The 13,274-nt window shown below is 49.3% G+C and overlaps 3 annotated features.

The window, feature by feature from the left end:
- Positions 6,255 to 6,435: a silencer, noted in NCBI's record as "fragment chr11:116452758-116452938 (GRCh37/hg19 assembly coordinates)". NCBI's record gives its function as "represses an EF-1alpha promoter that drives an FKBP-Casp9 reporter gene in an ReSE screen in phorbol 12-myristate 13-acetate-treated (for megakaryocytic differentiation) K562 erythroleukemia cells {active_cell/tissue: K562(+PMA)}" and the evidence as "EXISTENCE:reporter gene assay evidence [ECO:0000049][PMID:32094911]".
- Positions 6,545 to 7,154: an enhancer, noted in NCBI's record as "H3K4me1 hESC enhancer chr11:116452039-116452648 (GRCh37/hg19 assembly coordinates)". NCBI's record gives its function as "activates a minimal SCP1, AML or CMV promoter by ChIP-STARR-seq in naive H9 embryonic stem cells {active_cell/tissue: H9 hESC(naive)}" and the evidence as "EXISTENCE:reporter gene assay evidence [ECO:0000049][PMID:30033119]".
- Positions 7,155 to 7,764: an enhancer, noted in NCBI's record as "OCT4-NANOG-H3K4me1 hESC enhancer chr11:116451429-116452038 (GRCh37/hg19 assembly coordinates)". NCBI's record gives its function as "activates a minimal SCP1, AML or CMV promoter by ChIP-STARR-seq in naive and primed H9 embryonic stem cells {active_cell/tissue: H9 hESC(naive and primed)}" and the evidence as "EXISTENCE:reporter gene assay evidence [ECO:0000049][PMID:30033119]".

The following is a 13,274-nucleotide window of genomic DNA, read 5'->3' as shown; positions in this document are numbered from 1 at the left end:
AACGTAGACTCCCCATGACTCCCGAGCTTCAGGGTTGAGTCTTATTGGTCCAAAATAAACCCAGTCCCCATGCCAGTGACTGGTTCAGGAATTGGGACTGTATCCCATATTTGGGCCAATAAGATGCACAAAATGTAGATTAGGGAGCTTTATGAAAAAAATCTTATTGCTTCTAGAAGAGAGCTATGGGAAGAGAAAAATTAACCTTCTTCTTTTATGCTGTACACCGTTAGGTCTGGAAGGCATGCCTCACCAAACTGAAGTTGAAGCCAAAACCTGGAGGAAGGATAGAGGGAAGACAGAGGCCGGGTGCAGTGCCTCACACCTGTAGTCCCAGCACTTTGGGAGGCCATGGTGGGTGGATCATGAGGTCAGGAGTTCAAGGCCAGCCTGGCCGACAGGGTGACCCCCATCTCTACTAAAGATACAAAAAATTAGCCAGGCATGGTGGCATGGGCCTGTAATCCCAGCTACTCGGGAGGCTGAGGCAGGAGAATTGCTTGAACCTGGGAGGCGGAGGTTGCAGTGAGCCGAGATCACACTGTTGCACTTCAGCCTGGGTGACAGGCAGGGCGAGACTCCATCTCAAAAAAAAAAAAAAAAAAAAAAAAAAAAAAAAGGACTGGGGTTTCCAGTCTTACTGTCAAGCCCATGCATCAGCCACTCCTGCATCCTGTCTGACCCCTGGACTTCCTACTACATTAAATAACACATTTTCCTTATTATTTAAGTCAGTTTTGTTTTTTGTTACTTGCAACCAAATGCTTGCTAACGGACACAGTTCCAGTAGTCGTTTTTTTTTTTTTTTTTTTTTTTTTTTGAGATGGAGTTTTGCTCTTGTTTCCCAGGCTGGAGTGCAATGGCGTGATCTCAGCTCGCCACAACCTCTGCCTCCCGGGTTCAAGCGATTCTCCTGCCTCAGCCTCCCGAGTAGCTGGGATTACAGGCACCTGCCACCGTGCCTGGCTAATTTTTGTATTTTTAGTAGAGACGAGGTTTCTCCATGTTGGTCAGGCTGGTCTCGAACTCCCAACCTCAGGTGATCTGCCCGCCTGGGCCTCCCAAAGTGCTGGGATTACAGGTGTGAGCCACCATGCCCGGACCCCAGTAGTAGTTTTTACATGTTCAGTGAGATCATGTTGTATTCCAGACTGGGAGATTGTCACCCGGTCACACTCATGTCTCTGTCCCTGGATCTTGGAATGCAGGTAAAATGTGGATTGAATAAGTGAATGGATGGGCTCAGGCATTAGGTTGTTCTGCCCTGAGTCCGCGGTAGCACCAGTTCCCTCCCTCTTCGAGAAGTTTCAAATCCTTCACCAGCATTCTGTCCTTGCTCCCTTCTTGGTATGGCTGGCCTGAGTTAGAGAAAAACCAGGCTTCAGGGACTTTCTTGATGCCATGCTGTGGGCTGGCATCCGAGCTGGGGCCACAGGTTGGGGTTTTAGGGTCCTGGACTGACACTTAGAATGTGCCAGGAACTGTGCTAAGGAGGTAGAGATAAATGGCATACAGTCCCTGCCTCACAGATTCAGTCTCCAGTCAAACAAGTCAGTAAGGAAACACAGAGGCATGATACAATTGCAGCTGGTGTGAACCACTGCACAAACCTGCAGCAAAAGCACAATCACATTTTAAAATTTGGTTGCCTGCAAGCCCACCTTCCTGATGAGCAGCTAGCCTGGGATCTCCCTCTTGAGTCTCCCTCCCCCAGGCCTCTTGAACTCTTCATTGACCCTAGTAGCATACTTGGTCCAAATGGGGTTGCCTTCTTCCAAAGCCAAGTGCAGAGACTTCATCAGCCTAATGGCCCAGCATGACTGGAACTTGCTGCAGTGCTCTGCACAGCCCGCGGGCTCCAGTTCTCAGACCCTAAGGCCTCTGCCAGACCACAGTGGGGCGCCAGGGCCTTCAAACCTTCAGCACACATGGATCTCACTCATACCCTCAGCGGTTATTTCCAAAGTACAAACTCCATCCAGTGGTCTCTGGGCGTGGAGGATCTTCTGCACCACACACATGGTTTGCCCAAACCAGTACTCTCCCATGAACTTCTATGGCCCTCTTTCAGGCCCAGATCGCTCACCTGGACATCCTTTTTCCTTAAGATAACTTAGAGTCCTGAATTTTACAGGACTTTAGTTCAGCAGCAAGTCTCCCTGACCTGTTGAGTCGTAGAGAGCTCAGGAAGTTAGGCCATTTATTTCTTTCCTCCCAAAAGTCTCTGGGCTTTTTATGTAAATTGGGCTTCTGCCCCAGCCATAAAAAGGTAAGGTAAATATTGTTAAACCACTTAAAAAAACAAAAAACAAAAACAACAATAGAATACTCAAAGCACAGATTTGGTTACATCTTGATCCTTTGAACAATGAACGCCTTCTAGCGTCATCTTTGTGTACGTAAGAGGGTTCCTCAGTTGACACTTGGCAGGACAAAGAAGATCAGCTTCACAAGGCAAGAGCCCATATAAGTGACCACTTATTATACGGAAGTGAGAGGTGAATTGTTTCCAAGATTGGCATGTAGAGTGAGGGGAAGGCAAAGGAGAAAGGCTTCAGAAAAGTGAGGCTGTAACAAGAACCCCCATCCCCCAACATTTTATTATGAAAATTCTCAAGCATACAGAGAAGTTGAAAGAATTTTTCCGTGAACACTCAACCCACTGCTTAGGTTCTACTATTATCATTGTATGATACTTAATTCATCACATCTATCCCCATCTGTCAATTAGCTTTACTGATTAACGGCTTTACTGCTAATTTTATTCATACCATAAAATTCACCCATTGTAAGTATACAGTTCAATGATTTTTAGTAAGTTTATACCTTTATGCAACTATCACCACAATAGAGTTGTAGAATACTTATTAATACTTCCATCACTCCCAAAGACCCCCTTCATGCCCGTATGCTGTCAATTACTACTCCTACTCCAGGCTCAAGGCAACTACTGACCTGCCTCCAACCTCTATGTGTTTAACTTTTCTGGAAATTTCATGTAAATGGAATATGTAATACAGCGGTCCCCAACCTTTTTGGCACCAGGGACCGGTTTTGTGGAAGACACTTTTTCCACAGACCAGGGTGGGGATGGTTTCGGGATGATGCAAGCACATTACACTCATTGTGCACTTTATTATTACATTGTAATATATAATAATTCTACAGCTCACCATAATGTAGAATCAGTGGGAGCTCTGAGCTTGTTTTCCTGTAACTAGACAGTCTCATCTGGGGGTGATGGGAGACAGTGACAATGTTAGATCAACAGGGCATTAGATTCTTATAAGGAACATGCAACCTAGATCCCTCGCATGCACAGTTCACAATAGGGTTCACGCTCCTATGAGAATCTAATGCCCTACCGACCTAACAAGCAGGCAGAGCTCAGGTGGCAATGTGAGCCATGGGGAGTGGCTGTAAATACGGATGAAGCTTCACTCACCTGCCAGCCCCTCACCTCCTGCTGTGTAGCCAGTTTCCTACCAGGCCACGGACCAGTAGGGGACCCCCGACATAATACATAATCTTGTGTGTCTGTCTTCTTTGACTTAGCATAATGTGTTTGTGGTCCATTCTTGTTGTTGCATGTAACAGTAGTTCGTTTCTTCTGGTTGCTGAGTTCTATTCCATTGTATGGCTGTACCACAGTTTCTTTATCCATTCACCAGGTAAGTGGGCATTTGGATTGTTTCCAGTTTGGGACTAGTATGAATCATGGTGCCGTGCACCTTCCTGTAAAAGTTTTTGTGTGGACATATGTTTTCTTTGCAAGGTTTTAAAGGCTAAGTAGGACCAGGTTTGTTAAAACCAGAGGGAAGCATTCCTGGTGGGATGCATGTGCAAAGACTCAGAAAATTAAATCCCTTTTTGTTTGCAGGGGATGGCAGGAGTTCAGTGTCACAGAGGAGTGCGATAAAGAGGTAGCAGGGGCTGGACCACAAAGCCTGGGGCACCGTGCTCAGGGGAGGCAGGTGTGGATTATATCTTAAAGGCTCTAAGGAACCTTGAGGAGTTTTATAGGAACCAACATGGTCAGAAGTGCTCTGTAGAAAGATCATTGTGTTGTGGCTTAGAGAATTGGGCCAGTTAGAAAAGTATTGTAATTGTTAGGTGAGAGACACAAGGTTCTAAACCTGGTCCTGGGTTGGGAGCATGGGGGTTGGTGGGTGGATTGGATAGATTGAGACTGTGTGTATGTATGGGTCATCAGGGAGGGGAAGACATGGAGTGTCGCGGGGGCAGCTGAGTGATCCAGCCTTGCTCAGTTCCACGAACACCCCTTCTCCAGCAAGGAGGCAGCCCCAGCTCTCTTCTCGCCAACCTGTGTGTGGCTCTCAAGGTTAGTGCCATGGGGGTCAGTGCTGTTTAAATGTTGATTACAGAGACGGTGGGAGCTGCTCAGATTTCTAATTAAGATTAAAGAATGTACCCGGCTTATAAATGGTTCTAGGAATGTATAATTTGATTAGCCTGTTTTCTGCGGGCGCTTTAATTTCTGGATTAGTGAACGTGGCCTCTGACTGTGGTAGGGCTGCTTACCCACCACACGCAAAGTTTGGGGCCTTACAGGGCATTGGGAGTTGGGTGAAGATGGGGAGATGGTAGGGTAAGATGAGGAGTGAGCTCTGGGGAAATAGGCCAGGCCAGAGTGGTACTTCTTTTTCTTCTCCTCTTTTTCCCCACTTAGAGAGAAGAATGAAGGATGTGCAATTTCAGATCAAAAAGGACCCAAAATATTTACTATAAAATAAATGTGCTCACCTGGACCTCACTTACATTCATTTACTGCTGCCCAAAGGCACATAGGCCAGGTCCTCCCACTCCTGCATCCAGTCCTCTTTCTCCCCTCTTTCTCATTTTGAGCCCAGCCTGCCAACATTCCCTGCAGGACCCAGCCTGTAGGGCAGAGGTCATTTTAGGGATCATTGTTGGCATTCACAGGATGCTCCATTGTCAATCATAATTGCCATGACAACTCTAGGGCCCATTCAGCAGCTGCCCCTTTCCATTGGACCCTGGGCACTGCCAGTGAGGGGCCTGGTTGACAGCAAGCTCTGGTTGCCATGGGAAGTCATATCTGCCCTGTGGGAAGCCTCCTATGTGTCAGGGCAGTCACCTGCCACCCTCCTCACATCCCTTGTCCTCCTGCCCCAGGCCATTTTATGACTTTTGTGGCCCCTTAGGCACTTTGGCTTTCATGGGTTCCTTTCTCCATTAAAAAAACTCACTATGACTGTATTAGTAGACAGATGAATAAGTTAATATTGTATATTAAAATACTTTATTCTCTCTGAAAGCTCATTTATTTTCTTCTGATGTTAAAAGAAATCAAAACATTTCCATAGGCTCCTAAAAGTGTTGTGAGCCCTCGGCCCTGAGCCTCCTGCAACTAGTGGATAAGGGGGTCTTGTGTACCCCAAAGCTCCTGACAGGCAGCACACCTGTCTGCCCACTGACCCAGTGACAGGTGGCACAACCTCTGCAGAAGTCCTCAGAGGAAGGCTGTCCGAGCTCTGCCCTCGGGCTGTCCCGGCGGAAGAGCAGGGGGCTTGCAGCGCCACACAGAGTGGGCCATCGGCTCCCTAGCCTCTCTTCACCCACACTCTGAGAGCAAGGCACTCCTGTAGAGAGGACCAAACATTCCCCACCCTCCACCAGGCCTGCCAGATGGCCCTGCCTCCCTGGGATCCGCCTGCACTTTTACCTGGCTGACTGCTGAGAGTTTCTGTGCAATGCTCAGCTCTTGGTGGGCAGGGGTTCTCAAGGAGGGTTTGGAGGAATGCCCGTTATCTAGACTGCCTGAGGAGTGTGTGTGTGTGTGTGTGTGTGTGTCTGTGTGTGTGTGTGTGTGTGTGTGTGTGTGTGAAGTGTTTAAAGCAGATTCCAGGGGCTCTAACACAGACTGTTATATCAGAATCTCTGGCTGGGCCATAAATCCGCCCTTTAAGGGACTCCCCCAGTGATTTCTAGCCCTCTTGGGCTCAGGGAAGGTTGAGAAGCCTGGCGTCCCTGGCGTTGGCAAAGGGCATGAACTCAGCCTCCTGGCGTCTGCTTCCTTCTCGGAGGCCTCCACTACTTGCTTCTCCAGTTCACCTCGGCCTGGAGTTCAGCACACACTATTCAACAGCATGTTAGGAATTACGGGGGTGAAAGGGGTTGGTGGCGTCCAACCCCCTGCTTTGCAGAGCTTATGAACTCTTTTCCCAGGAGGTGGGGAGTACCCTCCCCCCAACTCCACTCTGCCTCATTCAAGAGGCTGGTCTTCGCATGCCTCTGAGGACGATGTCTGGGCACACAGCTCTACCCACCAGCTTCTAAAGACAACAGGAAATGTCCCTGGGTATGCTTGTTGTTGGATAAATGCCCAATTTCAGGAAAGCGGTGGTGAGCAACAGAGTATGGGAGGATTACATGTGTGCAAAGAATTACAGCTTCAGCCTCTCTCAGAAAAGTGGGCTTGGAGACATCACAAGGAGTCTGGGGACAGCAAACCCAGGCTCTAGCCCTAGTCCTGCTAACATTTCTGAGCCTCAGTTGCTCATTAGGACCTAATCGGATGATGCATATAAATGCACTTTGTAGACTGTCAATTCCATATCATTCATGGTTGTTTTTCACTGGGATGTGTTCTAAGTGTTGCTGGAGTTATTCGAAGCGTATGTCCCCCCAGCACTGAAGGAGGAGCTGGATACCAATTGGGTTCTGCTTCCCACTGGCAGTGGTGTGGGGGCCCCTCGGGGTCTGGGCTGTGTATTCATCATCCCTAATAAAGGCGGGAGAAGGGAATACTAGCTTGGTTTTACAACTTCTAGGGCAGTCTTACTCTGAGGGCAAGGCCAAGATCTGCCAGAAGTACAGCCTGGCACAGCCAGAACAAACTCTGAGCTCGGGTGTCTGTCTCCAAAGTCCTTCAGCCCTGGCCCGGGCCTTATAAGAGATCTGGATTGGGCAATAGTGTCTTTAGTCGATGGGGGCGAGCTTCTGGAGTCTGCCTGGGGAAAACCCTGAGAGATTTAGGAAGACACGGTGCTTAGGGAAGTCCACGCCCCGGAAGACTCGCCCCAGGTCGCTGCGTGGACTCCGACTCCTTCCCCAACACTGGAGGCCCTCCTGAGTGAGGCCTTCCCGGGCGTCCCCTCTCTCTTACCCGGAGGGGGACGGATACACCTGCAGTTAGCTGTGTCTCGTGCCCCGCTGCTCTCCCTACCCCTTTCTGCCCTGGTGTCCCAATTTTCGGAGGGCCTGGGAAAGGGATCTGAGCCAGCAGGGGTGGGGGGCGCGGTCTGGCTGCGGTCCCCGCGTTCCACCCGGCCGCCTGTTGGCTAGGGGACACTCCTGGCTCTCCGCACCGCTCGGGAAGCGTGTTGGGACGGGGCTAATGATAATTAACACTTGGGGCGCGTTTTGTCTTCCAAGTGCTTTACAAACACGACCTAATTAGCCTGCGGGGAGGAGCGGCGCCACTGAAACGCTGTCTTTATTATTCAATTCCGTACCGTCTGGAGCGGGCGGCCGGGCGCGTGAGGGCTGGCGGGGAGGAGGCGCTTGAGGAAGGCTCCGCGGGGTTGAGACTCGCCTTGCAGTTCGGCCCATTCTTACGCATCCCATTAAATCTTTGTCGCACTGGAGAATAGCTTGAACCCGGGAGGCGGAGGTTGCAGTGAGCCGAGATCGCGCCACTGCACTCCAGCCTGGGCGACAGAGCGAGACTCCATCTCAAAAAAAAAAAAAAAAAAAAAAAAAATCTTTGCCGCAATCTAGACAGATGGCTAGGCCCTGGTGCTCAAAGAGATTAAGTGACATGTCCAAGACCACACAGCTGATACGGGTGTGCGGCCACTCCAACCCGGGCCGCGAACCGCAAAGCTCCAGGTCTTGGTCGCTTTCCCCGGGCGCCTCGCGGGCCCTGCGCGGGGAGGCTCGGGGCAAACGCCCGGCTCGTGGCCTCCGGGCGCAGGGACGAAGGCGGGCGGCGGAGCGCGCGCTGCCGGGTGGGCGGAAACTGTTGCGAGCGCAAAGCTCCCCTCTACACCTGAGCGGGGGACAGATGTGCATCAATATTTATTCGGAACTCCCAGGAAACCTGGATGAAGTGTAATTATCTCAGCTCAATCAGCTTGGATTAGCATAACATCAAGTCACCCATCAGACGGAGGGTTTGATTTCGGGGATCAAAGCGACGGCTGTAGCCGCTGATTAATCGGGGAGAAGGAAGCGGCGAGAAGAAAGCGGCGCCGGCTCTGCTAGCCACAGCTGCACCGCTTTGAAGCGCCGGTGGTGCCAAGTTAACTTTGCCGGCCGCCCCCGCCGCTCCTCGGACCCGCTGCGCCCGCCGGGTCCGCGGGTTTTAGCGCCGCTCCCTGGGCTGCGAGTCGCCGGCTCTAAAATAAACCGTGCCCCCTGCCCACCCGGGGCTGTGTTGGGGGACTGTTTTTCCTCGGTCTAGGATCTGCTCCGAGGTGGAGGGGCGCTGCGGGGCTTGCCCGGCCCGGGACCTGGGCTGGAAGCTCACGAGAAAGGACGCTCCTCGGAGGTGTGCACTGAAGGCTGCCTAAGGCTGGAGCGGAGGAGTGAAATGATGGAGCGCAAGGCCTTCCCCAAGCTGGTCTCAGCTGGCGTTTCCTGCCTCACCTGCCCCATCCCCTCACACCACACACAAATTACTTATTTTCTTAACTCATCAGGCTTTATTGGTTCTGTACCTTTGTACAATCCGTTTTCCCCAATTGGGGTGCACTTCTGTCTCCTTCTGTTCCCAAACCACTCTGACATCCGTAATAATCAACCCTGGTAAATTTTACCATTTTACCCAGTGGCATTTTACCCAGGGTCCCCGGAACCCTGGTTGGGCCCTGGAGAAAAGCACTTTCTGGGGGTTGGGAGTGGTGAGGAAGGGCAGCTGGTTAAGTTTGCATTGTAATCAGTGTGGCTGTCCCGCTGACTTCCAGCTCTCCCTCCTAATTTGTGCTGGCTGGGCCGAGGGCGGGAACCCCTCTTGCTTATGATTGAGTCACCTTGGATACAGTCCTTGGCACGAGGTGCATGTGGATTCCAACTCTTGGCCTCTGCTAACTCTGTTCACCAGGCCAAGGCACTGGACCTCCCAGGAACTCAGGCTGATGCTTTGCAAAGGTCTTTGTGGCTGCTCAGTTAAGCTGCTCCCAGGGGAGAGTGCCCCATCGATGTCAGAGATTCCTAGAACCTTAGGGTAAAAGGGAAGCTCACAGACCCCTTCCGCATTCACCTGATAACCCATCTCCATCCTCTGCTTAAGGGGCTGCAGCTGGCCCACTTGAGAGCTTGCCCAGAATGGCAGGCACAGGAGGACTGTGAAGAGTGGCCACATGGCCACTCTCCAAGGCTTTCTCTGGCTGATGGGATGACGGCACCAGAGTCCCCTTGCCAGCCCTTCCCATCCTCCTGCCTCACTCGGGAAACCAGACAATTGAATGTCCACGCAGATGTGTAATTGACACAGTAACAGCAATTCACAGTGCCCCTGCCCAAGAACTTGACCTGGCCAAAATATAAACAAAAATAAATTTGAATTTCAAAGCTTCTGCTTTGCAGATGATTTTTTCAATTTCACATCTCAAGTTTTCTGTAAATTGCTATAAAAGTGTCTACCCCTATAACTTCAGTGATCTTTATCACAGCCCCTTGAGGTACTGTAAAATGACTACATACATGTGTACGGCGTGGGACTATTACAGAGCCTCTCCCAGCCATTGTCTTGTCTGATCCTCCCAGCAACCTTTGAGAGCTAGAGCAATGTGCCCAAGTCCACAGAGCCAGGTGAAGCCAGGAGAGAATGGGTCTTCTGGTGGCTCAGGCTGGGATTCTTTCCATGATGCTGTGGAGCTGAGTAGTTTTTGTTTTAGAGAAGATTGAACAAGGCCCCAAGAGGTGAAGCGACTCATCCAGGGTCTCAGACAAGTCACTGCCCATTTGGGTGTAGGACGGTGTTCTGCCAGTTCCTTCTCTCCTCCATGCCATGGCATTGCCTTATGGGGCTGGGGGGCAGGACCTCAAAGCTGAGGCATGTGTATCCATTGCTATTTTTCTTTGGAATGTAATCTCCTTGAGGTCAGGGACCATTTCTATTTTGTTCCTTACCCGTCCCAGAATCAAAGCTGAATGCCTGGGACACAATAGGTTCTCAATAAATAGATGTAGAATAAATGTAAGAAGGAGGTAATGAAAGATGAAGGAAAGAAGAAATGGAGGGAGGGAGGGAGGGAGGGAGACAGTGAGGGAGGAAAGGAAGGAGGGAGGGAGGGAAGATTAAAGGATTGCCAGCCCTGGCAGGGTGCTGTGTCTTGAGAGTGGGTGGGCATGTGCCCAGTATACTGGCAGAAAGATGATTTATCTCCATTCCAAATCTCAGCTCTGCAACATCGTGGGTTTTTCTCTCCCCTTTAATTAAGAACTAAATATAGATCTTAATTAAGACACTGATGAATTTAATTTAGAGTGGCATTAGGGCCCTAACTTGCAGAGCTCAATGCCGTGTTTGTATAATGTTGGATATAAGCTAAATGAGTGCTTGCTTGGTACCACCATAAATAATTCCCTGGCAAATCCCTTTTGAAGCATGGCTGACGTGAACCCACTCCCATCTAGAGGATGTTCTTGGATTCCCACTGCCTAGCCCCTTTTCATGTGTCCACATCACAAGTGGTCCTGTCTTGCCCCATATGCTCTGACTAATCTAGAACCTCCTTCTCCCATCATAGCTGCTTTGCTCACCTCTGCGTCTTTGTTCACACAAGTTCCTCCCTTGGGAAGTCCTTTTTCTGCACTTCTCATTCCAAGCCTGTCAGAACTTTTCCCCTTCCTTTCAGTTTCAGCCCAAGTGCCTGGGTTTGGTGAGACCCTCTCTCCTCTTTCCCTGCCTCCTGATCTCTAAGCATGCAAGGCGTGAGCTCTAAATTGCCCCACTTGTGTGGTGTCCGGCACTCCCTCTGCCACATGCTGATAGTATTTATAGCTGTCTTTTCTCCCGGGCGCTAACTGGGGAGTGAGTGCCAAGCATAGGGCCTGAACAGAGTAGGTGATCAGGAAGAGGCTGTCACTTTAGCTTCTATCCATGGAGCTCAAGGAGCCAACCTTCTCATTTCAGTTCACTTCAAAAAATGTGTGTTGAGCACCTGCTGTATGCCAGACACTGTGGTAGAGCCTGGGAGACCCTTACAGTTTATGCAGCAGGTCAGGGGATGAGTGAAAACACATGGCAAGGGCAGGCAGGCTGTCTAATCATGCCATGTGGAGGGGCAGAGCATGGTGTGGGCCTCTCTCATCCATTTGCCCACTCTCCCATCTGATGCCAAGACAGCAAGCACAGCATGGTGGTTAAGAGCTGGTGCTCTAGATTCTGGCAGTCTGGGGCTAGCCATGTTACTTGGGAAAGAGGGTTGATATTAGACTAAATGAGATTTTGCCCTCAGTGCAGTACCTGACACATAGTAAGTGCTCTATAAACAGTAGTGATGTTGATGATGGCATCTTGTTGACATGCTGACCTATTGGAGGTTGGGCAACTTTCCATCAGATGGAGGAGCAGGCTGTGTCATTCATGCTTTGTACAAAACCGGGGTCCAGAGAGTGGCCTCTCCAGGAGCTCCATGCTTTTGATCCACGTTGTCTCTGGCTCTGGGCCCTTCCTCCACCCTCTGTGCTTCTCACTTGTGAAAAGACAGTGATTTCACCCCTTCCCTTTGTCATCTCAGGTGACTCAGCCCCCTGGCACCTCCTCCTCTCTTTCCTAATCTTGCATTGGTGCAATTTCACCACAAATGTCTCCAGAGTGGGGACTGTTTTTCAAGCACCTCCCCCTGCCCTCTGCAGTGCTGGCACATAGCTCTTTCATGTGGCAAATGGTAACTATCTGTGATTTCTGTCTAGGAGGCTGTAGACCAGAGTTTTTCAACCTCAGCACTGTTAACTTCTGGGGCTGGATAATTCTTTGCTGGGGAGCGTTCTGCACACTGTAGGATGCTTAGCAGCTTCCCTGGCCTCTATGCACTAGATCCCAGTAGCACCCACCCCCCAGTTGTGAAATCTGGGCATTCACCTCACCTCCTTAGCCTCAGTTTCTTGCTTTCAATATGTCGATGATCATAACTCTTAGGGTTATTGTCAAATTCTTTTTTTTTTTTTTTTTTTTTTACAATGGTAATTATATATATATATATATATATTTTTTTATTTAAGTTTTAGGGTACATGTGCACATTGTGCAGGTTAGTTACATATGTATACATGTGTCATGCTGGTGCGCTGCACCCACTAACTCGTCATCTAGCATTAGGTATATCTCCCAATGCTATCCCTCCCCTCTCCCCCCACCCCACCACAGTCCCCAGAGTGTGATATTCCCCTTCCTGTGTCCATGTGATCTCATTGTTCAATTCCCACCTATAAGTGAGAATATGCAGTGTTTGGTTTTTTGTTCTTGCGATAGTTTACTGAGAATGATGGTTTCCAATTTCATCCATGTCCCTACAAAGGACATGAACTCATCATTTTTTATGGCTGCATAGTATTCCATGGTGTATATGTGCCACATTTTCTTAATCCAGTCTATCATTGTTGGACATTTGGGTTGGTTCCAAGTCTTTGCTATTGTGAATAATGCCGCAATAAACATACGTGTGCATGTGTCTTTATAGCAGCATGATTTATAGTCCTTTGGGTATATACCCAGTAATGGGATGGCTGGGTCAAATGGTATTTCTAATTCTAGATCCCTGAGGAATCGCCACACTGACTCCACAATGGTTGAACTAGTTTACAGTCCCACCAACAGTGTAAAAGTGTTCCTATTTCTCCACATCCTCTCCAGCACCTGTTGTTTCCTGACTTTTTAATGATTGCCATTCTAACTGGTGTGAGATGATATCTCATAGTGGTTTTGATTTGCATTTCTCTGATGGCCAGTGATGATGAGCATTTTTTCATGTATTTTTTGGCTGCATAAATGTCTTCTTTTGAGAAGTGTCTGTTCATGTCCTTCGCCCACTTTTTGATGGGGTTGTTTGTTTTTTTCTTGTAAATTTGTTTGAGTTCATTGTAGATTCCGGATATTAGACCTTTGTCAGATGAGTAGGTTGCGAAAATTTTCTCCCATGTTGTAGGTTGCCTGTTCACTCTGATGGTAGTTTCTTTTGCTGTGCAGAAGCTCTTTAGTTTAATTAGATCCCATTTGTCAATTTTGGCTTTTCTTTCAATTGCTTTTGGTGTTTTGGACATGAAGTCCTTGCCCACGCCTAT

The sequence above is a fragment of the Homo sapiens genome, chromosome 11 (genome assembly GCF_000001405.40).
Source record: "Homo sapiens chromosome 11, GRCh38.p14 Primary Assembly".
In the NCBI taxonomy this organism is placed as follows: domain Eukaryota; kingdom Metazoa; phylum Chordata; class Mammalia; order Primates; family Hominidae; genus Homo; species Homo sapiens.
Note: the sequence above shows the minus strand (reverse complement) of the source record. Positions and strands in the feature narration are given on the sequence as shown.